The sequence below is a fragment of the Homo sapiens genome, chromosome 4 (genome assembly GCF_000001405.40).
Source record: "Homo sapiens chromosome 4, GRCh38.p14 Primary Assembly".
In the NCBI taxonomy this organism is placed as follows: domain Eukaryota; kingdom Metazoa; phylum Chordata; class Mammalia; order Primates; family Hominidae; genus Homo; species Homo sapiens.
This window is the reverse complement of record NC_000004.12, coordinates 55,383,106-55,404,785: the sequence shown is the minus strand read 5'-3', so window position 1 is coordinate 55,404,785 and position 21,680 is coordinate 55,383,106. Positions and strand designations below refer to the sequence as shown.

The window sequence follows — 21,680 nt, the reverse complement described above, 5'->3', positions numbered from 1 at the left end:
GATCCCTGGATTTAGCAATTTGCTAACTTACAAGATTCTTTCAAAAAATGGAATTTGTGGTGGCTCATGCCTATAATCCCAGCACTTTGGGAGGCCGATGCAGGAGGACTGCTTGAGGCCAAGAGTTCGAGGCCAGCCTGGGCAACATAGTGAGACCTCATCTCCACAAAAAAAAAAAATAAAATAAATAAAATTAGCCAGGTGTGGTGGCATGCACCTGTAGTCCCAGCTACTTGGGAGGCTGAGGTGGGAGGATCACTTGAGCCCACTAGTTCCAGGCTGCAGTAAGCTATGATTGTGCCACTGAACTCCAGCCAGGGCGACAGAGCAAGACCCTATCTTTAAAATTAAAAAAAGAATTTCAAGGAAAAGGCAAGGACTGAAGCCAGATAACAACATACTAAAGTAAAGTGAAAAAGCAGCAAATCCCCTAGTTAGAAGTTTGGTTTATAAAACTGAAGAAACTAATATGGCTGGGCATGGTGGCTCACGCCTGTCATCCCAGCACTTTGGGAGGCCGAGGTGGACAGATCTGAGGTCAGGAATTCAAGAGCTGCCTGGCAAACATGATGAAACCCCATCTCTACTAAAAGTACAAAAAAAAAAAATAGCCAGGCGTGGTGGCGCACACCTGTAGTCCTAGCCACTCGGAAGGCTGAGGTTGCAGTGTGCCAAGATTGTGCCCACTGCACTCCAGGCTGGGCAACAGAGCAAGACACTGTCAAAAAAAAAAAAAAAAAGGAAAGAAAGAAGGAAGGAAGGAAGGAAGGAAAGAAAACGAAACTAATAGTCAAGTTAAGATTAAATGAATGACCTTTTTCTTTCTTTTCCAAAATAAGAGAAACATATGAACATGTGTAAGCAGATACAAAGGAAGCAATGGGAAGGGAGAGAATAAAGGCACTGAGGGAGGAGAATAGGAACGTGGACACAGAGAGGAGGTACACAAAGGATGACAGTTTTGTCCAAAACATGAAAAAGGCAGACAGTACAGGCACAGAAGAATATACTTGGATGCATACAGGATTAGATGCAGTGTGCAATTTCAATTTTGGTATTCCACTATTCAGTTATACAGTGTTATATATCATGGTAAGTAATGAGATACTAGTGTTTTGGTACAAATACCACTATTTCAGTATTTTAATAATGTCTGAAACACACCTTACTTACATCTTGAGAGCAGGATTAACAACTTAAGATTTTTTTAAAAAAACTTGCTTAATAAAAACTCTTTTCTAGTTAAAATTTTAATTCCAAATGTAAAAATTGTAAAAAAAAAAAAAAGAAAAAGAAAAAGGCACCCTCATTTAGAAAGTATTCTTTTATACTTTCATGATCCTCAAGAGAAGGAAGAAAAAGAAAATCAAAGAAAAAAGTAATTCCTTTTCTAGTTCTAGAGTTCAAATAAACACAAATGTGACTGTATTGAAATTGATACAGATACCTGCATCGGAATCTCCATCTATACATGATGAAACTAGAGAAGATGAAGATGCTTTCCTTGAAACAAAATCTACAGCTTGCTACCAAGAAAAAAACTGATGTCCCTGCAAAAAAACAGAAACAAAGTTGCTCAATAAGTTATCAAACAAGAGGTGAGATTATCTGAAGACAAAGGAGTCAGAAGAAAATGCTTACAATTTGCTTAGAACTGTCTCCTGGGCACTACTAAGTCAAAAAAGCTTTTTTTAGGGGCCGGGTGTGGTGGCTCATGCCTGTAATCCCAGCACTTTGGGAGGCCCAGGCGGGCGGATCACGAGGTCAGGAGATTGAGACCATCCTGGCTAACATGGTGAAACCCCATCTCTACTAAAAATACAAAAAATTAGCTGGGCGTGTGGCGGGCACCTGTAGTCCCAGCTACTTGGGAGGCTGACGCAGGAGAATGGCGTGAACCCGGGAGGCAGAGCTTGCAGTGAGCCGAGATCACGCCACTGCACTCCAGCCTGGGCGACAGAGCAAGACTCCGTCTCAAAAAAAAAAAAAAGCTTTTTTTAAAAGTTGTAAAAATGTGCCCAAAAATATATATGCACTTAGGCCGGGCATGGTGGCTCATGCCTGTAATCCTAGCAACTTGGGAGGCGTGGTAGGTGGATCACTCGAGGTTGGGAGCTTGAGACCAGCCTGGCCAACGTGGCAAAACCCCATCTCTACTAAAAATACAAAAATCAGCTGGGCGTGGTGGCATGCACCTGTAGTCTCAGCCACTCTGGAGGCTGAGGCATGAGAATTGCATGAACCCCGGAGACAGAGGTTGAAGTGAACCAAGATCTCACCACTGCACTCCAGCCTGGGTGACAGTGAGACTCTGTCTCAAAAAAAAAAAAAAAAAAAAAAAAAAAAAAAAAATATATATATATATATATATATATATATATACACACACACACACACGCACGCACTTAAACAATGACACCACAGATAAACCTGATTTCGAAAGATAACATTAAAGTATTTTAATTTTCATTACGTATTTTTGTGAATGGTTTCACTATTTTTAAATACTTTATTGTTACTTGTTAATTTATATTAGAATTTATATGTAATATTTTGTAATAAAATTATTTTTTGTTTTAATGAATGTTTATTTTTATGAATGTTGTTTTGTAATGTATTTATGCACTTGAAATTTATTAAATGTGTTTAGTTTCTTTTTTTTTTTTGGAGACAGAGTTTTGCTCTTGTTGCCCAGGCTGGAGGGCAGTGGCACGATCTTGGTTCACTGCAACCTCCACCTCCCGGGCTCAAGCGATTCTCCTGCCTCAGCCTCCTGAGTAGCTGGGATTACAGGTGTGTGCCACCACGCCCAGCTAATTTTTTGTATTTTCAGTAGAGATGGGGTTTCATCATGTTGGCCAGGCTGGTCTAGAACTCTTGACCTCAGGTGATCCACCCACCTCGGCCTCCCAAAGTGGAGGGATTACAAGCGTGAGCCACTGCGCCCGGCCTTCATTGATTTTATTTTTAATGAATTTTTTTGATGACAGCATACCACTAAATAAATTCAGTATTAATATAATTACCTTCTGAGAAGGTAATTATGAGCAGGCGTCCTTATAACTGATTGCCTCAATCTTAGCTGTATAAAGGCTAGAATTAGGAGGCTGGACTGGGTGGAGTGGGACTGCAACTTAATGAAAATAGAAAAAAGTTTAAAATGTTTTGTAGAAGGTACTCTCACAGCTGAAACGTAATAAATAAATGAAATACCAAAACATAAAGTAAAAATATGATAACAAGAACAGGCACTGAGTCAGGTAATGATTTTGTGGCTTTATTAGAAGTGCTATGCAACCAGAGTCATTCTTCTTTGGACTTCCAGAATATGCAATAAAGTCTAAATGACTTTTATTAAATCTATCTGATCTCCCTCAACTCAAAGGACTTATGTTTCTTATATTACATATTCTGTCCAGGGAAAGAGTAAGAAAAAACTATTGAGTAAGTCACTAGAAACATAAACTGCAGAAAAGATAGGATCCAAGTAATCAACAACACTTTTTATCATGGGTTTGTAAATTGGGGGTTAATCTTGATTTTAAGTTCATATTACTTACCAACCTTTTTTTAGCCTAATTATAGAGAAAAGCACATACTCAATGTAGAATGCCCTGTTAGAAGTTCAGTCACCTTGCTTTTAGCATCCTATAAGATACAACTAGGTTTTTATAACATATCTTCCACTTGAATGCCTACTAACCAAGGAGAGATGCTTCCCCCCTCCATTTTCAGAAGCCCACTCTCACACAGTGGCACAAAAAGGTTAAATTTAAATATCCTACCTACCCTCTTAAAACATCTACTGCATGTAGTTGCAAAGCAAATCCGTTGAAACTTACATATTCAGCAAGGCTCAACTCTTGCTAATACTGCTGTTAAACTGTACTTTGATCATTTCTTACCTCCATCAGGTGGACAAAAATAGCCAATGACACTTATATTACATAGTTTAGAAAACATGTGAAAGAAAAATCTTTCAGCATAGTGAGTACCGTAGAGGAAAAAATACTTGAGTAGTATCAAAAAGTTACATAAAAATATAATTAAGGCCAGGCGTGGTGGCTCACTCCTGTAATCCCAGCACTTTGGGAGGCCGAGGCAGGCGGATCACCAGGTCAGGAGATGGAGACCTCCTGGCTAACACGGTAAAACCTCGTCTCTACTAAAAATACAAAAAATTAGGCGGGCATGGTGGCGGGCGCCTGTAGTCCCAGCTATGCTGGAGGCTGAGGCAGGAGAATGGCGTGAGCCTGGAAGGCAGACCTTGCAGTGAGCCAAGATCACGCCACTGCACTCCAGCCTGGGCGACAGAGTGAGACAAAAAAATATATATATATTATATATATTATATTTTTATATTTTAATATAAATATATTAATTATATTAATATTATTTATTATTATTATATTAATATAATTAATTATATTAATATAATATAATTAATATTATATTATATATAATACAGTATTAATATTATATATAATATTATATATAATATATAATATTATATTATATATTATATATTAATATAATATAATATTAATTACATTAATATATTAATATATAATATAAATATAAATTATATATTTATATATTATTTTTTATATATATTATATATATAAAATAAAAACAAGACAAGGCCAGGCATGATGGCTCATGCCTGTAATCCCACCACTTTGGCAGGCCAAGAGGGGAAGATCCCTTGAGCCCAGGAGTTTGAGGGCAGGCTGAGCAACATAGTGAGACCCTGTCTCTAAAAAAAAAAAAAAGGAAGAAAAGAAGACAATTATATTCTATTATAATACAAAATTAGAATAAACAATAATAAATAAATGCCTAACTAAAATGAATCACCAAGAATATATGAAAATATTAAACGGAAAAATCATATTATATTATACCCACCCTTCCCTCCATACCCCTAGTTTTAAAGACAAGGATCCCTTCCCAGCTACTCAGAAGGCTGAGGCAGGAGGATGGCCTGAGTCCAGGAGCTGGAGGCTGCAATGAGTTATGAGCTATAAGAAGACCTTGTCTCTATAAAAAAAATTAAATAAAACTTTAAAAGACAAGAATCCTTAAGACCATTTAATATGTTTACTGGACACTGTTTCTACCACTGTGGCATTCTGCATGGCTAGATTTTTCCTAGCTTCTTAAAAAGGATATTAGTAGCTCTACACCTACCATCATTTCTATCTTAAAAATTCCAATATGACTAAAACTTCAACAAAATACCTGCAAAGTTACATATTCATAATCTCTCACTCACACAATTAACTTAATCCAAAATAGTTATTGTTTTAAAATAAATGTGATACTGGGGTAAATGACAGGGCTAAAAGATGAACACTAAGAATTAAGTTCATCAATCAGCGTTTCAGTTCAATTACTGAAGTGGACATGTCAAGCAGGGTCAGCTGAGCCAGGAGCGACAAGCAGGGCAGTGTAAATGGGAACCCCACTCCTAAGCATATGGCTGGGGGTAGCAGGGCAGGCAGAAGGAAAAAGATGGAGAAGCCCACTCACCTCTTTGCTCTCCCCAAGTGGACTAAAGACCCTGGCTTCACATGTTAAATGATTCACACTTCTTGTACACCTCTGACATCACTGCATTATATCTCTCTGTTACCATGGGTTATTTACTCGTTGAGTTCCAGTGCTTTTGATCTTCTCTTTTTCTCTTTTTAAAAAAAACTTTATAAGAGTCCCGGAATTAACTATATAGTCAGCTGAAAATAAACTGTCTAAACCAACACCAATCCAATAATGGTTACAAAATCACATTATATCCAGCAGATGATAAAAGCTTAGTTCTCTTAATTCCATCTGGTGGATCCCTTGCAACTTAAAAAAAAAAGGTTGGATAGACACTATTAAAAATCGGGTTGTTGTTTTTTTTTTTTTTTCCTGGTTGAGTTTATTTTACAGCCAGTTTTTCCAGAAAGGTATTTAACAGCTGATATAAACTTGACATGCAACTACTTCAACCCAGTCTTAGAAAATTAGTTAATAAATGCCAAGAACAGACAAGGTCTTCTGGAATAGACAGATGAGTAAGCCAGAGTCATGCTCTCAAGACACCTAAAAGCTAGTAGGGGCAGATAAAACACGCACACAACTTGCAAGAACCCAAGGCAGCAAGATGTGTGTGTAAACATGCCACAACATACACAATAAAGTTCCCAAAAAAGGAGAAAGAGAAAGCTAGGCTCAAGATCAAAGAACTGCACCAGCATACAATCCAATAAACCATTAAAATCCATTAGTGAATTAAATAAGTCAAAAGAGTAAGACACAATGAATGCTAATAAAACTTAGTAAGGCACAGAAGTCCAGATTCTAATTCTGGTTCTGCTGAAACTAGCTTCTAGCTCTGTGATATTAAACCACTATTCCTTACAAACCTCCTCTACCTGTTTAACGTGCTGTTGTGAGGATTAAATCGGCTCCCAGAATCTTCACTTCCCAGTAACTTTATCTCCCAGATTCCCTCCCATATCAGAATCTCCTCATAGGCAGTTAGTTATTCAACTTCTTCCTGAGTACTTCCAGTAAGGGGAACTTCATTATTTCTCAATAGCGATTACTACATCTGGGACAGCACTGATTCTTACAAATGTTCTTGCTTAGTGAAACCAAGATCAGTCTCTCAGAAAGTTCTATCCTACGGTCTTACACAGAAAAACAACAGAAAATTGGAAAAGCCTAAGAAAGTAACATGTAACGAAAACATGAAACACGAAAACAATGCACCGGTGTGAGAGCTCACCAGCACTTGGGAGGCCAAGGCCGGAGAAGCGCTTGAGCCCAGGAGTTTGAGACTAGACTCGGCAACATAGTGAGACCTCCTCTCTCAAAAAAAAAAAAAATAAACAAAAATTAGCCGGGCGTGTCAGCACACGCATGCAGTCCCAGCCACTCAGGAGGCTGAGGTGGGAGGATCAATTAGAGGTTGCAGTGAGCCAAGACGGGGCCACTGCACTCCAGCCTGGGCGACAGAGCGAGACCCTGTCTCAACAAAGAAAAAGGAAAAAGGAAAGGAAGGGAGAAAGGAAAGGAAAAAGGAAAGGAAAGGAGAAATGAAAGGAATGGAAAGGAAAAAGGAGAAAGGAGAGGAAAGGAAAAAGGAGAAAGGAGAGGAAAGGAAAGGAAAGGAAAGGGTCAGATAAATCACCCTTAACCAAGAAATTTTAGGGAAGTCTTCACAGAGAGTAGGTATCTGCTGGTTCTCCAAGGTGGGAAGAGTTGATCCGTGGCTTCAAACTCCAGGTCTTTTTTTTTTTTTCTTTGAAAAGGTCTTGTGTTAGGGAGGAACTGGCAAGAGAGCACAAAGCCTGTCCCAAAGGGCTCTTGAAGCACATTCTTTTTTGCAGATGAGCATATCCCTTTAGCATATGAGCAAGAAAGCGGTGGCTAAAAAGCCTGGAGGTGAGCTGGAGCCAGATCAGAAGAAACCTGAACATCACTCTCCTAAAAAGGCTGGACTGAAATTAGTGGAGGCAACTCACCGACGACTTCTGACAAGATGGCAGAATTCAATGTTCGGGAAGATTAGTTACGTGGAGATGGGCTGGATGTGGCCTGGGTGGGAGTGGGGGTTTGAGTGCCACACTGGCCGGGATTCAGGGAGCAGATACTGGAAATGACGACAAAGCCCACGACTGGGAGAAGGGAGAAATGTTAAAACGCTGCCAAGTGACTAAGGACTAATTCTATTAACAGATTAAAAAGTTGATTTCTAGTATCTATTCAGGGAAGGACAAAATACAGGATTCTGTTTTACTTATAAATGTAGTTTTGGCATCCCACATCGCTGCAGCACGCTGTACTGCCGGAGACTAATTCCTCTGCGTTCCTAAAGGCTACTTCCTGCTAGCCAAAGCACATTTTTAAAAAGTGAGAGTCATGGTTCATAATCCATATTTGGCAAAAAGCACAGGCAGTGCCAAGTTGAATTTGGGTAAGCAGTTTGGCATAAGCTATTTCAACAATGAAATGGCCGATGTGATGATCCTCAGGGAATACAAAAAGCCTCCTAGCAGCCTTCTGTTAAAAACTTTTTGGTAGGGATGAGTCTTTCTAGCTACTCTAAGACACATCTGATCAATAAAACGCCCATCCCGGAGCAGCATCTTGGCCCTCCGGAGATCAACGTTTATAGCGGGCTCCTCTTGGACTCTCCCTCTCCCTTTCCCTAAAGGAGCGGGCAAGACCAGGCCTCACCGGAAAACAGCGCAGCCGACCGCCCTCCACCCCGGGAGCAGGGGCCGGGCTCCCCTCCCCCAGCCGAGGCCGGCGGAGTGCGGCGCTTTCAAAGGCCTGGAGCCTGGTACTCGGCGCAGCCGGCCCTGCAGCCTCGCTCGCCCCATCCCGGCCCGCTCACCTCGACCCGGGCCGGCTCGGGGCCCTGCACAGCCACAGGCTGCGGCTGCAGCTGCTGGGCCGGCGCCGGCGGTTCTTTGTTCCGGTGGCTAAGGTCTTCATCTGGGCCGGCCCGGACCGCAGCCGGGGCCCACAGCAGCGGAACCAGAAAGAGCAGAAGCAGCCGGGGCGCCGATGCGCGGCCGTTCCCTGGAGCCGCGGCCGCCATCCCGCCTGCCGGGCCGGCCGCGCACGGGCGCCGCAAGAGGAAGTGCCGGCGACGGGAAGCCTCGACCCCGAACAGCCTCCGCGGCGCGTCCTCACGACTCGCCGCCGCCGCCGCTTAGGGAGCAGTCAGCACCATCCGGGAGGTGCAAGCAGCGGGAGTGAGGTGAGGGGCAGGCCGAAGTCCGCAGCCCCGGCTCGGCGCCCGTCCTCTCCGGCGGCGGCTAAACTGGAGTCAGCCAGCTGCCTCGGCGCGGCCCAGCCCCGACTCCTCCCGGCCCCGTCCCTGCCCGCGACGGCCTCCCATTGGCCCGGCGACCGCCTTGGCGTCGTGACGTCCTCTGCCAGGTTGAGGTGCGGCGCGGGCCCTCCTCCCATTGGATCCGGCGCTCCCGGCAGGTACCCGGCGCCGCGTGTCCTTCCTCTGCTCGCATCCTCACCGCGCCGCGCCCGGGGCTCCCTTTCTCTCTCTGTGCCCCACCGTCCCAGGACTGCGAGGTCCTTCACTTCTGCTTCCTCCAGAGCCTTCCGCCGTAATGTCCGCACCCGCTGTTCCCTGCGCTTAGTCTCTCTTAGAGGTCAAATTAGTGCGAGCGCCTCTGGTTACGTGGCGCTGACTCGCAGGCACTGCCACGCCCAGCTCTGTTCCGCTCTCCCCCGCCGAGCCTCTGTGCCACCCTCCATGTGGCCACCTACCGCCAAAAACGTTCTTAGGAGCTCAAAATGCTATTTTTTTTTTAAAGTTCTGAAATGGGATTTGGAAATAACATGACATTTTTCAAGCCTTGTTTTAAGATACTGCCTATAATTACCCCAGACCAAAAATGGCTAACGTTGCCCTTGTCCAGTATGGCCTTGACGTTTTGGGTGCATCTTGTTTTGTGCTATTCCTTAGACCCTTTAAAAATGCTGGGCTTTTGAAATGGACTGTTTAAGACTTTTGCAGGATGGAGCTTTGAGTGGGCAAGACTAGAAGACAGGAAAGGATGGTCTTGAGTTAGGCTTGAGAATATTTTTACGTCTTCCCAAAAGAAAAAGTGAGCTACTTAATTACCATAAGTTTGAGACCTAGTCCCTAATAAAAATCGATAGTGCTAACCATGTGCCAGGCACTAATCTAATATTATACATATTTACATACAGTAAACCTGTACTCAGTAAAGAGCTAAGGAAGTTTATCACTAACTGAAACAAAAAATTAATCCACCAAAACAATCTGTGGGAAAGTGGGCAAACCTACTTTGAGTTCACCAAAGATACAGTGTTTGTCACAGGATAATAAAATTTCCGTCTGTTTTTTTGTTTTGTTGTTTTCTTTGTTTTTGTTTTTGAGACGGAGTTTCGCGCTTGTTGCTCAGGATGGAGTGCAATGGTGAGATCTCGGCCCACTGCAACCTCCTCCTCCCGGGTACAAGAGATTCTCCTGCCTCAGCTTCCCGAGTAGCTGGGATTACAGGCATGCTCCACCATACGCGGCTAACTTTGTAATTTTAGTAGAGATGGGGTTTCTCCATGTTGGTCAGGCTGGTCTCGAACTCCAGACCTCAGGTGATCTGCCGGCCTCGTCCTCTCAAAGTGCTGGGATTACAGGTGTGAGCCACCGCGGCCGGCCTCCGTCCATGTTATTCTGTCCGTAATTCCCCTTCTTCCATTCTCTCCTTGTAAACTCCTACTCATACTTCCAAAACCTATTCAAGCTTCCACTCTCAGAACTTTTCCCCAACACATGGCGTTACAGAATTTGTCACTTGTTCCTTCATGTTATTGCTTTATGCATTCTTCTATTACTGTGTAAGTAGGATGCCTCCACTTACAGTTTGGGGTGTGTTAAAAGAAAAACCTTAGACAAATTAAACTTAACAGCGTTTAATCAAGCAAAGAACCCAAAGAATGATCTGCAAATCAAAAAGACCCCAAATCAAAGTAAGTTCAGAGAGGCTCCAGTCTTGCCGAGTGGTCGGAAAAAATAAAGTGACTTACAGAAAACATAATTGAGGGACAGAAACAGCTGGATTGGTTGTAGCTCAGGTTTGCCCTATTTGAACACGGTTTGAACAGTTGGCCACTTGTGATTGGCCAGAACTCTGTGATTGGTACAAGAATAGGTTACAGTCTGTTTACATACCCAATTAGGCTACAGTTCACCATGTATGGGGAAACCTTTAGGCCTAACTTAAAATATGTAAGGAGGCAGCTTTACACTAAATTTAACAGATGCAACTATCATCCCTGGAGTGCAAATGTTTGAGCTTTCAGAAGCCAGTAATAACATAAAACCCAGAAGCCCAAACTTCAACTACCTCCCCTTAATGCATACAGGATTTGCTGTGCTTAAAAGGGGCCTGAAAGGGAGGCTTGAGGTCCCAAGGGAGGGACCTGAAAGGAGCAGCTTAGGCTGAAGACAGAGCCAGAAGGGTGAATGTAGCAAAACTGGCTGTGTGTCCCTCATTGCTGAAAGCTGCTTTGTTTATTTTCTAGGATGGGCTGCCCACACTCCAGGGCTTTCTCACAGGAAGGACTCCTGGCCAAATTCAGTCATCTCAACATATGAGGCAGTGAGGACTTCTGGGCTACAGCTGCAGGATGCTGAAGCACCAGCTGCTGAGCATGCAGTGGTTCAGGGGCAAGGCAGCAAAGCTATTTGGCAGAAGATGTAACATAAATGGAGATAGAGCATTGGCGAACTGGCACAGTGGTGTCAGCAAAGCATCAGAATCTGGGCCAGAGTGAGACCTTTCTAGCCTGCCCCAGTGTCACCCTGATCCAAGGGCCTTCAGGTGCTGCCAGGCTAGGCTCTAGGTGTCTGATTCTCATGGGATCTGGTATTTCTGTTTCCACACACATCTACCTCCTGGGATCCGTGCTCAGGCGTGCTAAATCGAGGCTGGCTCCAGTTTTCACCACCTTGAGGGTTTAGAGCCATCATCCTTCTAGTCCTCATTGGTGACTAACTCCCTTAAAAAAAGCAATTAAAAAACTATAGGAGCTTTCCTGATACCTTTCTTGAAGGACAACTGAAGCTACTTATTTAACCCCCTACCCAATAAGGATGTGGGTGGCGCAACAATTCCAAGATGATATATTTTTTAATCATAGCCTACACCGATATAGTCTTACTAAAATGTAACCACTGTCAGGCATCCTATGGAAAGAAACCCTACTACATGTGCATTACATTGTATTTTATTTAATTAATTTATTTATTTATTTTTGAGGTGGAGTCTCGCTCTGTTGCCCAGGCTGGAATGCAGTGGCAAGATCTCGGCTCACTGCAGCCTCCGCCTCCCGGGTTCAAGCAATTCTCCTGCCTCAGCCTCCTGAGTAGCTGGGATTACAGGCATGTGCTACACGCCCCACTAATTTTTTGTATTTTTAGTAGAGACGGGTTTACCATGTTAGCCAGGATGGTCTTGATCTCCTGACCTCGTGATCCGTCCGCCTTGGCCTCCCAAAAGTGCTGGGATTATAGGCATGAGCCACTGTGCCTGACCTATATTTTATTTTTTATTTATTTATGTAGAGATGGAGTCTCGCTCTGTCACCCAGGCTGGAGTGCAGTGGTGCGATCTCAGCTCACTGCAACCTCTACCTCCCAGGTTCAAGCGATTCTCCTGCCGCAGCCTCCAAAGTAGCTGGGACTATAGGCGCCCGCCACCATGCCTGGCTAATTTTTGTATTTTTAGTAGAGACAGGGTTTCACCATGTTAGCAAGGCAGGTCTCGAACTCCTGACCTCAAGTAATCCATCCACCTCGGCCTCCCAAAGTGCTGGGATTGCAGGTGTGAGCCACTGAGCCGGGCCTGCACTGTATTTTAATGTCTTTTATTCCAACACCCTTACTAAGCCTTAAGCTTCTAGATGGTAAGGTTATGCCTTTTATCTTTATATTTCTAGCACCTAGTAGATTATATAAGAAGGTAATGGGAATAGTTATCATTAAAGTAGTAGTAAAACTTTATTGAATGCTATTCTGATCCAGTCAGAGCACTAAGTGTGTTACATGAATTATTTCTATCCTCCTTTTTGCAAATGAGAAATCTGAGACTTAGGTCAAGGAACTTTCCTCAAATTACACAGCTAGTAAGTAGCAGAATTATGCCTCATACCTGTTTGTTGAATTCACCTATGCTCCACTTACTGAAAATCTACTTTATGAAAATTTAAATATATAAGACCAGCCAATTAATTAATGGTGAACATTTTCATTAACTGTTAGAGAATGCTGTTTCTCCACTCTAGGGTTCTATTGAAAAGGACTATTTCCTGCTGGGTGCGGTGGCTCATGCCTGTAATCCCAGCACTTTGGGAGGCCGAGGCGGGCGGATCATGAGGTCAGGAGTTTGAGACCAGCCTAGCCAATGTAGTGAAACCTCGTCTCTACTAAAAATACAAAAGTTAGCCAGGCGTAGTAGTGTGTGCCTGTAGTCCCAGCCACTTGGGAGGCTGAGGCAGAAGAATCGCTTGAATCCGGGAATTGGAAGTTGCAGTGAGCCAAGACCGCGCTACTACACTCCTGCCTGGGCGACAGAGAGATGCTCTGTCTCAAAAAAAAAAAAAAAAGAAAAAGAAAAGGACTATTTCCTGGCCTCTTTCAGTGCCTTCGTCATTCCCCTCTGATAATGTAGAGTCCATCTGAGCAGGGTAACTGAGCATATTGGGCTCAGCTTCATTGCCTTCTTCCTCTGGGGAGACAGACCCCTAAGGGAAAAACATTATCTGCTGTTCTCTCCAGGGCTTGCCCCTAGCCCAGTGCAGCCTGCAACTCAACAGCTCTTGATTCTGGAGTTCAGTATTAGCCCAGTCCACCTGGCCACCAGACCTAAAACTATTCCTTCCAACCCGGCCTCCTGTCTGTGTCACTCTCTGTTTTCATCCTCAATGTTTCAGAAATAGGGAGAAGTGAGCTATTTCCTGAGCTCTGCTGGAGAACCCTCCTTCCCCATAATCAGCAAAGGGCCGATTAAAGTTTTTTCCTTAAATAGTCCACAGAGCAAAGGTTGGTTAAAGAAGCCAGGGCAGGGAGATATGAGGAAAGAGGAGAAGCAAAAACCAGAAACTTCACGCTAAGAGTCAACTGAAGATCATTCAAATTTAAAGCACTCAGGCTGGGCACGGTGGCTCACACCTGTAATCCCAGCACTTTGGGAGGCCGAGGCAGCTGGATCACCTGAGGTCAGCAGTTTGAGACCAGCCTGACCAATGTGGTGAAACCCTATCTCTACTGAACATACAAAAATTAGCTGGGTGTGGTGCCGTGTGCCTGTGGTCCCTGCTACTTGGGAGGCTGAGGCAGGAGATGGCTTGAACCCGGGAGGTGGAGGTTGCAGTGAACTGAGATCACACCACTGCACTCCAGCCTGGGCAACAGAGCAAGACTCTGTCTCAAAAAAAAAAAAAAAAATTAAAGCACTCAGCAAATGTAAGTGAATGACGAATAGCAATATGCAACTTGCTTGACCTTCTCAACTCTTTAAAGCTCATGAAACGAAGCACACTGCTACCCATCAGCTTGCTAAACCCCTTTAAATGATGGGGATCTGGACCCTTGTATGCGAACTCTGCTGGTGCAGGGGAAAGGGAGGGCAGCTGTTTCCCTACATTCTTGGGCTTTCCTAGGTTTCCACAAGCAGGCTGAAAATTCCAAAAAGAATGCTAAATACATGCTCCAGGTTCATTTATCCAACTCTTTCCTTGCATCACCTTCTGGATGTTTCACAGGCATTTCCAACAGAGCAAGGGCAAAACAGGTCTTTTGATGTCCCTCCAAAAACCTGTTCCTCCTTCAGGCTTTCCATCTTAGTAAATGGAACCAACATCCACCATATTAGATTACTCCATTAGATTCCCCATACCCCACATCCAATCCACCAGCAAATTTTGTCTCTAATTTTAAAATCTATCTGAATCTGTTCACCTCTATCTCCACTGTTACCACCTTGTACAAACCAGGTGTCATTTCTCACCTGGACAATTAAATGGGCTCCTAATTGGTCTCCCTGCCTCTGCCAATCTAGAATCTAACCAGCAGCCAGAATGAGCTTTCAAAATTAAAATAATTTCATTCCACTGCTTAAAAGTAATGACTTCTAAATGGGCAGAGAATAAAGATAAAACAATCTCTGAATGAAAGTTTAATGTGAGCTCGGCTGGGTGCGTTGGCTCACACCTGTAATCCCAGCACTTTGGGAGGCTGAGGCAGGTGGATAACCTGAGCTCAGGAGTTCGAGACCAGCCTGGCCAACATGGCAAAAACCCATCTCTACTAAAAATACAAAAATTAGCTGGGTGTGGTGGCAGGCGCCTGTAATCCCAGTTACTCGGGAGGCTGATGCAGGAGAATCGCTTGAACCCAGGAGGCAGAGGTTGCAGTGAGCCAAGATTACGCCATTGCATTCCAGCCTGGGTGTCAAGAGTGAAACTCTGTCTCAAAACAAAAAAAAAAAAAAGAAAAGAAAGTTTAATGTGAGCTACCCCTGCCTCCCTGTGTGACCTTGTCTCTTGGCTTTCTCCACCTCATGTGCCATGCCCAACCAAGAGCTTATTTCCACCTCAGACTCTTCATACTTCTGGTTTTCTCTTCTGAGAACACTCTTTTTTTTTTTTTTTTTTTTTTTTAGGTCTTATTCTGGTCATTTAGGTTAAAGTTCACTTCCTCAAGAGCAGCCTTCCCAGACCACCCATCTAAAATAGACTCTTCCATTCACCCTTGTCACTCTGTCTCATTGTTGGTTCTTTTTAAGTTTGGGGATTTTTGAAAGTTTTTTCATAGCACTTATCACTATCTGAAATTATCTTTTTTTTTTTTTTTTTTGAGACAGAGTCTTGCTCTGTTGCCCAGGCTGGAGTGCAGTGGTACGATCTCGGCTCACTGCAACCTCTTCCTCCTGGGTTCAAGCGATTCTCCTGCCTCAGCCTCCTGAGTAGCTGGGACTACAGGCATATGCCACCACGCCTGGCTAATTTTTGTATTTTTAATAGAGACAGGGTTTCGCCATGTTGGCCAGGCCAGTCTCAAACTCTTGACCTCAAGTGATCTGCCCATCTTGGCCTCCTGAAGTGCTGGGATAAAGGTGTGAGCCACCACACCTGGCCATCTTGATTATCTAATTGTTTACTTCTTTTTTTGTTTTGTTTTGTTTTTCAAGACAGTCTCACTCTGTAGCCCAGGCTGATTATCTAATTGTTTACTTCTTTTTTTGTTTTGTTTTGTTTTTCAAGACAGAGTCTCACTCTGTAGCCCAGGCTGGAGTGCAGTGTCGTGATCTCCACTCACTGCAACCTCTGCCTCCCAAGTCCCAGTTGAGCAGTTCTCCTCCCTCAGCCTCCCGAGTAGCTGGGATTACAGGCACGCACCACTGTGCCCAGCTAACTTTTGTATTTTTAGTAGAGACGGGGTTTCACCATGTTGGCCAGGCTGGTCTTGAACTCCTGGCCTCAAGTGATCCGCCCACCTCGGCCTCCCAAAGTGCTGGGATTACAGGCATGAGCCACTGTGCCCAGCCTGTTTTTTGTTTTTTGAGACAGGGTCGCATTCTGTCACCCAGGCTGGAGTGCAATGGTGCAATCTCAGCTTACTGCAACCTCTGCCTGCTGGGTTCAAGCAATTCTCATGCCTCAGCCTCCCGAGTAGCTGGGATTACAGGCATGTGCCATCATGCCAGCTCTTTTTTTTTTTTTTTTTTTTTTGTATTTTTAGTAAAGACAGGATTTCACCATACTGGCCAGGCTGGTCTTGAACTCCTGACCTCAAATGATCTGACCTCCTCAGCCTCCTAAAGTGCTGGGATTACAGGTGTGAGCCAGCATGCCCGGCCTTTGTTTACTTCTTATATTTATTATCTGTATTGGCAACTAAAACGTAAGTGTCATCAGGGCCAGAATCTTGTCTAAAGAGTTCCTGGCTGTAGAAGACACTCATACATGAATGAATAATTAGTTTAATGAAATTCTGACAACAAAAAGACAAAGGCAAACCTAGACACAGACATAGTCTGGCTCAAAAATACAGATTTCTGATCTGTCACAGCTTCATCTTTGAAAGTCAGCCTCATTCCATACCCACCCTTTCCTCCCAAAAGGCCTGAAAGTTTTGAAGTGGCTTCTGTGCCTTCTTTGCCCTTGGCCTGCCTCTGAGAGACAGAGTTCATCTGACTTTCCACTCACTTCCTAGTGACCTTGAGTTCATTTACAGCCAAAGACAATAATGGGTGTTTAACTCACCAAGACTCCTTCAACCCAGGGCACTCCACCTCCCCCAATTATTGCCAAGTCTGGTTTAGGTCTGACAGCAACTGAGGCTATACCCTCCATCCCCTCCATCCTCCCCCAGGTTAGGCGAAATCTTCTCTCCATTGTCAAGCAAGGTGTGAATTTTGATGAAGCTACTCAGGGCAGAGAGGTGGTTGGAAATTAGGTGGGAGTGATACTCTTTCATCAAATTAAGGCTCGGGTATTACCAAGAAGTAGGGTCAAAATTACGTCAGCCAGAGAAATATAAATCCATTAGACTAGAGGAGGATCTTTAAAATGAGAAAAAGTTGCAGCCATGGAGTAGAAGACCCTCTGATTCCCTCTTTCCAAGTGTTGATAGTAGAGCTTCACCGCCATGAAAAGTCTGTGGATGCTGAGACCTGTGCTCCCCTTCTCTCTGAGGCAGGCCTACAGAATTGGGCATGAAACAGCAAAGGATGGCCTCTGCTTCCACCACCATCAGAAATGTTATATTTTCACCAGTGCACCATAATGTAGCAGTCTCTCCATAATGTAGCAGGTGAGGTATCACCTGGAGTTCTTCGTCTCATGACCAAGAAAATTAAGGAGCGTGGATGCAAAGGATGAAGTTGCAGCGAAAGTTTAATAAGCAAAAGAAGAAAGCTCTCCACAGTGGAGAGGGGACCTGGAGGAGGGTTGCTGCTTTTACAGGTGACTGCAAAGGCTTTTATAAGAACCGGTGAGGGCTGGGCATCTCATTTGCATAAGGCATGAATTTCTGGTAGCTCCACCTCATCCTTCTAGTGTGCATGTGGGCCCTTAGCTTAAGTTTTATTCCATATTGCTTTTTTCCCCTTACTGCGCATGTGTCAGGGGATGGAATTTTCCACTGCAGAAGTATCTGGGCAAGTCATCTGGGTAGGCTTTCATATCTGTGTGGCTGTGGGAATGTCTTAGTCAAGGCCACCTGTGCAGATCCCCTTATCTGTGCCTGCAGCTTGATTTTTCAGGCTGTTCTTTTGTTTGAAAGAATTTAACCAAGGACCCACCCTAACTGATGCCTGAAAGGTTTCTTCCTTTCTCCTCTCTCAGTATCTTCCCTTGTGGACTACACCAGTGTCGAAATGTTCTTGCTAAAAATGATGCAGGGAGAAAGACAAAGTTACAAAGTTGGCATCCACAATTTTTCCATCTTGCCCCACTTCCCAATTAAAATGAAGGAAAAAAAATTGGTGAGGTCTCCATCCCTGTCTGAAGCAGGCATCCATTATCCTGCCCAGGTCAGTTGCTGCAATGGGAAGCATGACTTCATGTTTTGTCAGATGTACCAAATTTTCAAGAGAAAAGCCAGAGAGCTGAATATTTGTGTGAAATTTCCTGATTTTTAAAAGTTGGCAATTGTATCAAATTAGGATTATACTCCACTAAATATAACATAAAATCGAAAAGAACATGCAGCATAAATGAGAGAAATGTTTTCCTTCATTAGAGGCAGTTCAGTGGCTCCACAGAGATCAGGGACCCAGGTTCCTTCCAGCTTTCTGCTCTATCATTCCTAGGGGGTGACCTTTATCTTCATGGCCCAGTGTGACTGCAAGAGCTCTAGCATCCAAGTTCCCAGCAGAAGGATGGAGGACTGGCTGGAAAAACAAGGAGACACAGGGTATGCATCAGGTATGTTTCAAGGGAGCTGCCACAAACCACATCTGCTTACATCTTATTGGCTAGAACTTAGCTGCATGGTGACAGCTAATTGCAAGGGAAGCTGGGAAATGTAGTCTCTATTTCAGAGGCACTTACTATAGGGAATAAAGGGAGAAAGGCTCTTGGGGTCAGCAATTAATAGTCTGTGTCATAGTAACTATATCAGTCAGGGTTCTCCAGAGAAACAGAACCAGTAGGAGGCATACAACAAGTCTGAAATCTTAGAAAACACCAGCAGGCTGGAAACTCAAGCCAGATTTTTATGTTACAATCCTGGGGCAGAAGTCCTTCTCCAGGAAATCTCCGATTTTGCTCTTAAGGCTTTTAACTAATTAGATGAGGCCTACCCACATTATTGAAAGTAGACTCCTTTACTTAAAGTCAACTGGTTGTAGATATTAACTATATCTGCAAAATATCTTCACAGCCACATTGTTATTAGTGTTGTAACAAAAAACTGAGCCCCGTAGCCTAACCAAGTTGACACATATAATTAACCATTACACTAATTCACAATTTTAAAAACTGTGCATACAAAACAGTAGCTGTCTATGAGCACGGTATGACCTGCAGCCTGCCAGTTTGCAATCCTTTCTTTGCATGTCGGAGCAAGGGGCTTGGCCCTTTATAGACCTACGATGTAATAATACCCTAACCACATACCCACCATACGACTGGAATCACACATACACTGCCACAAGAGGTCTGCAGTGAAGGTCCCAAAGTCCCAGACAGTATGTAGAGAAATAGTCCTGTTTTTTGTTTGTTTTGCTTTTACCACTGTGGAATGCTATCTGATAACACACTTTTCTCACTCCTTTCTGACTCATAAAATTATTTTCACTGTAAAACCCAAACCTCAGTTGCTAGGTAGTGCCCCCACAGGAGGGGGCAGTGAGGGGAGAAGGCAGGGAGCTGGGGCTAAGAAAAAGCCTAGGGCTTTGTCAGCCTATAATCACCAACCATTCCACTCACCCAGTACCACTCAGACAGAGGAATGAGACTCTTCTATGCTCGCCCCAGACAGTTCTTATCTGGTGTTCCTCTTTCAAAGTTGTCATGCTGTAAAGTTGTGTTTTCACTGATTTGTAAGAGCGGTTTATATATTGTGAATATTTATTTTTTCTTTCTTACATGTATTGCAATTGGTTTTTCTAATTTTTAAAACATTGTTTATGATGTCTTACACTGTAATTCTGTACAGGCTTACAGCTTTTCTGAGTCTATTTGAATAATATAAGTACTAGAAATGTGGCTAAAATGGGCCCATTAAAAGCATTGGGCCAGGCACAGTGGCTCATGCCTGCAATCCCGGCACTTTGGGAGGCTGAGGTGGGCAGATTGCTTGAGCTCAGGAATTTGAGATCAGCCTGGGCAACATGGTGAAATTCCATCTCCACAAAATATTAAAAAAAAAATAGCTGAGTATGGTGGCATGTGCCTGTAGTCTCTGCTACTCGGGAGGCTGAGGCAGGAAGATCACCTAAGCCCAGGAGATAGAGGCTGCAGCGAGGTATAATTGCACCACTGCCCTCCAGCCTAGGTGACAGAGTGAAGAAAAAATAAAAATAAAAAGAAGGAGGAAAAAAAAGCATTGACACACTTTCATGCAGGCTGGAGGGCAGTGGCGTGATCACAGCTCACTCCCAGGGTCAAGTGATCCTCCTGCCTCAGCCTCCCGAGTAGCTGAGACTACACACGTGCACCACCATGCCCCGCTAATTTTTAAATTCCTTGTAGAGACACAGTCTCACCCTATTGCCCAGGCTGGTGTTGAACTCCTGGGTTCAAGTGATCTTCCTGCCTTCACCTCCCAAAGTGTTAGGATTACGGGTGTGAGCCACTTTGCCCAGCCGGCACACAAATTATATCACCTAGAAATCGATAATTTCACTAAAAGCCAGGAGATGAACTAAAATTATTTAGGGTAAATATGTGTCTTATGTTTCTTAATTCAGCAACAAATTAGTTTTATGCAACAATCATCATATGAAAATAAAAACAATTATAATTCAGTGGATCTTTTTTCACTTTATGGGAAGCAGATTTGGTTTATCTGGCTTCAGTGCTTTTCCCTGCTGTTTATTTTTCACAAGTAAGTCATCTTTATTGTCATTTTGTTTTTACTGCAAAGTTCATTGGAGTCATCATTTTTGAAGAAACCAAAAATAGATGAGGTGGGCCCATATTGTGGTGGCCATTTCTCTGATCTTTAGAAAAATAGTTCTCCATATTTGAAAACAAAGAATGCTCATAGAAGGACAATCTAACAGGCTTGCTATTTATAAGATACCTGAATTTGACTCCCATTTGAATGGATGTTTATCCCTGTCAAACTTATGCTCTGGACAGCAAAACACATAATTTTTAAATTGTTATTATTATTTTTGAAACAGAGTCCCCTCTTGTTGCCCAGGCTGGAGTGCAGCAGCATGATTACAGCTCACATCAGCCTCGACCTCCCGGGCTCAAGCTATCCTCCTACCTCAGCCTCCCAAGTAGCTGGGACTATAGGTACGTGCCACCATACCCAGCTAATTTTTTTCTGTTTTTTGTAGAGATGAGGGTCTCACTACATTGCCAAGGCTGGTCTTGAACTCCTGGATTCAAGCAATCCTCCTGCCTTGGCCTCCCCACATGCTGGGATTACAGCCATGAGCCACTGTGTCCAGCCAAAACTCCTAATTTTAATGAGAATGGCATCAATTGAAGGCATTGTCCCCAATTGCTTTGTGACATCAGTCCTGGATTAAATGCAAACAGATTTTTCCTTATGACAAATTCTGCACTATAGCCCACAGTATTATTTACTCTTTTTTTCTTTCTTTCTTTTTTTTTTTTTGAGACGGAGTCTCTCTCTGTCGCCCAGGGTAGAGTGCAGTGGTGCAATCCTGGCTCACTGCAACCTCTGCCTCCCAGGTTCAAGTGATTCTCCTGCCTCAGCTTCCCAAGTAGCTGGGACTACAGGCGTGTGCCACCACGACCAGGTAATTTTTGTATTTTTAGTAGAGACAGGGTTTCATCATATTGGTCAGGCTGGTCTTGAACTCCTGACCTCGTGATCCTCCTGCCTTGGCCTCCCAAAGTGCTGGGATTACAGGTGTGAGCCACTGCGCCTGGCTATATTTCTTTACTCTTAACATAGATTAAATGCCTATTACCTGATAGATTTT

At 43.6% G+C, this 21,680-nt stretch overlaps 1 protein-coding gene and 2 long non-coding RNA genes across 7 annotated transcripts in view, besides 3 other annotated features; 1 reads left to right on the top strand and 2 right to left on the bottom strand.

Moving 5' to 3' along the window:
• Positions 1–8,829, bottom strand: part of TMEM165 (transmembrane protein 165) — a 57,441-nt gene extending 48,612 nt beyond the window's left edge. For 2 of the 5 annotated variants that reach the window (XM_011534394.4, NM_018475.5), the window contains exon 1: positions 8,390–8,829. In XM_011534394.4, coding sequence (XP_011532696.1) covers positions 8,390–8,596 — 207 coding nt within the window. In that variant the 5' untranslated portion in view covers positions 8,597–8,829. Of the gene's footprint in view, positions 1–1,447; positions 1,551–7,514; positions 7,668–8,389 lie in introns of those variants that run through there. The other 3 variants (XM_017008412.2, NR_073070.2, XM_047415962.1) reach the window with 3 other exon arrangements.
• Positions 6,604–6,653: an enhancer, noted in NCBI's record as "active region_21574". NCBI's record gives its function as "activates an Ori minimal core promoter by ATAC-STARR-seq in GM12878 lymphoblastoid cells {active_cell/tissue: GM12878}" and the evidence as "EXISTENCE:reporter gene assay evidence [ECO:0000049][PMID:35858748]".
• Positions 8,154–8,623: a silencer, noted in NCBI's record as "silent region_15439". NCBI's record gives its function as "represses an Ori minimal core promoter by ATAC-STARR-seq in GM12878 lymphoblastoid cells {active_cell/tissue: GM12878}" and the evidence as "EXISTENCE:reporter gene assay evidence [ECO:0000049][PMID:35858748]".
• Positions 8,824–9,023: a silencer, noted in NCBI's record as "silent region_15438". NCBI's record gives its function as "represses an Ori minimal core promoter by ATAC-STARR-seq in GM12878 lymphoblastoid cells {active_cell/tissue: GM12878}" and the evidence as "EXISTENCE:reporter gene assay evidence [ECO:0000049][PMID:35858748]".
• The window catches only part of LINC02928 (long intergenic non-protein coding RNA 2928), a 10,479-nt gene continuing 5,312 nt past the window's right edge, over positions 16,514–21,680 (bottom strand). The window contains exon 3 of the long non-coding RNA XR_941060.4: positions 16,514–18,443. This is a non-coding gene — a long non-coding RNA (long intergenic non-protein coding RNA 2928). The remainder of the gene's footprint in view (positions 18,444–21,680) is intronic.
• Positions 19,206–21,680, top strand: part of SRD5A3-AS1 (SRD5A3 antisense RNA 1) — an 18,980-nt gene continuing 16,505 nt past the window's right edge. Inside the window, exon 1 of the long non-coding RNA NR_037969.1 lies at positions 19,206–19,241. This is a non-coding gene — a long non-coding RNA (SRD5A3 antisense RNA 1). The remainder of the gene's footprint in view (positions 19,242–21,680) is intronic.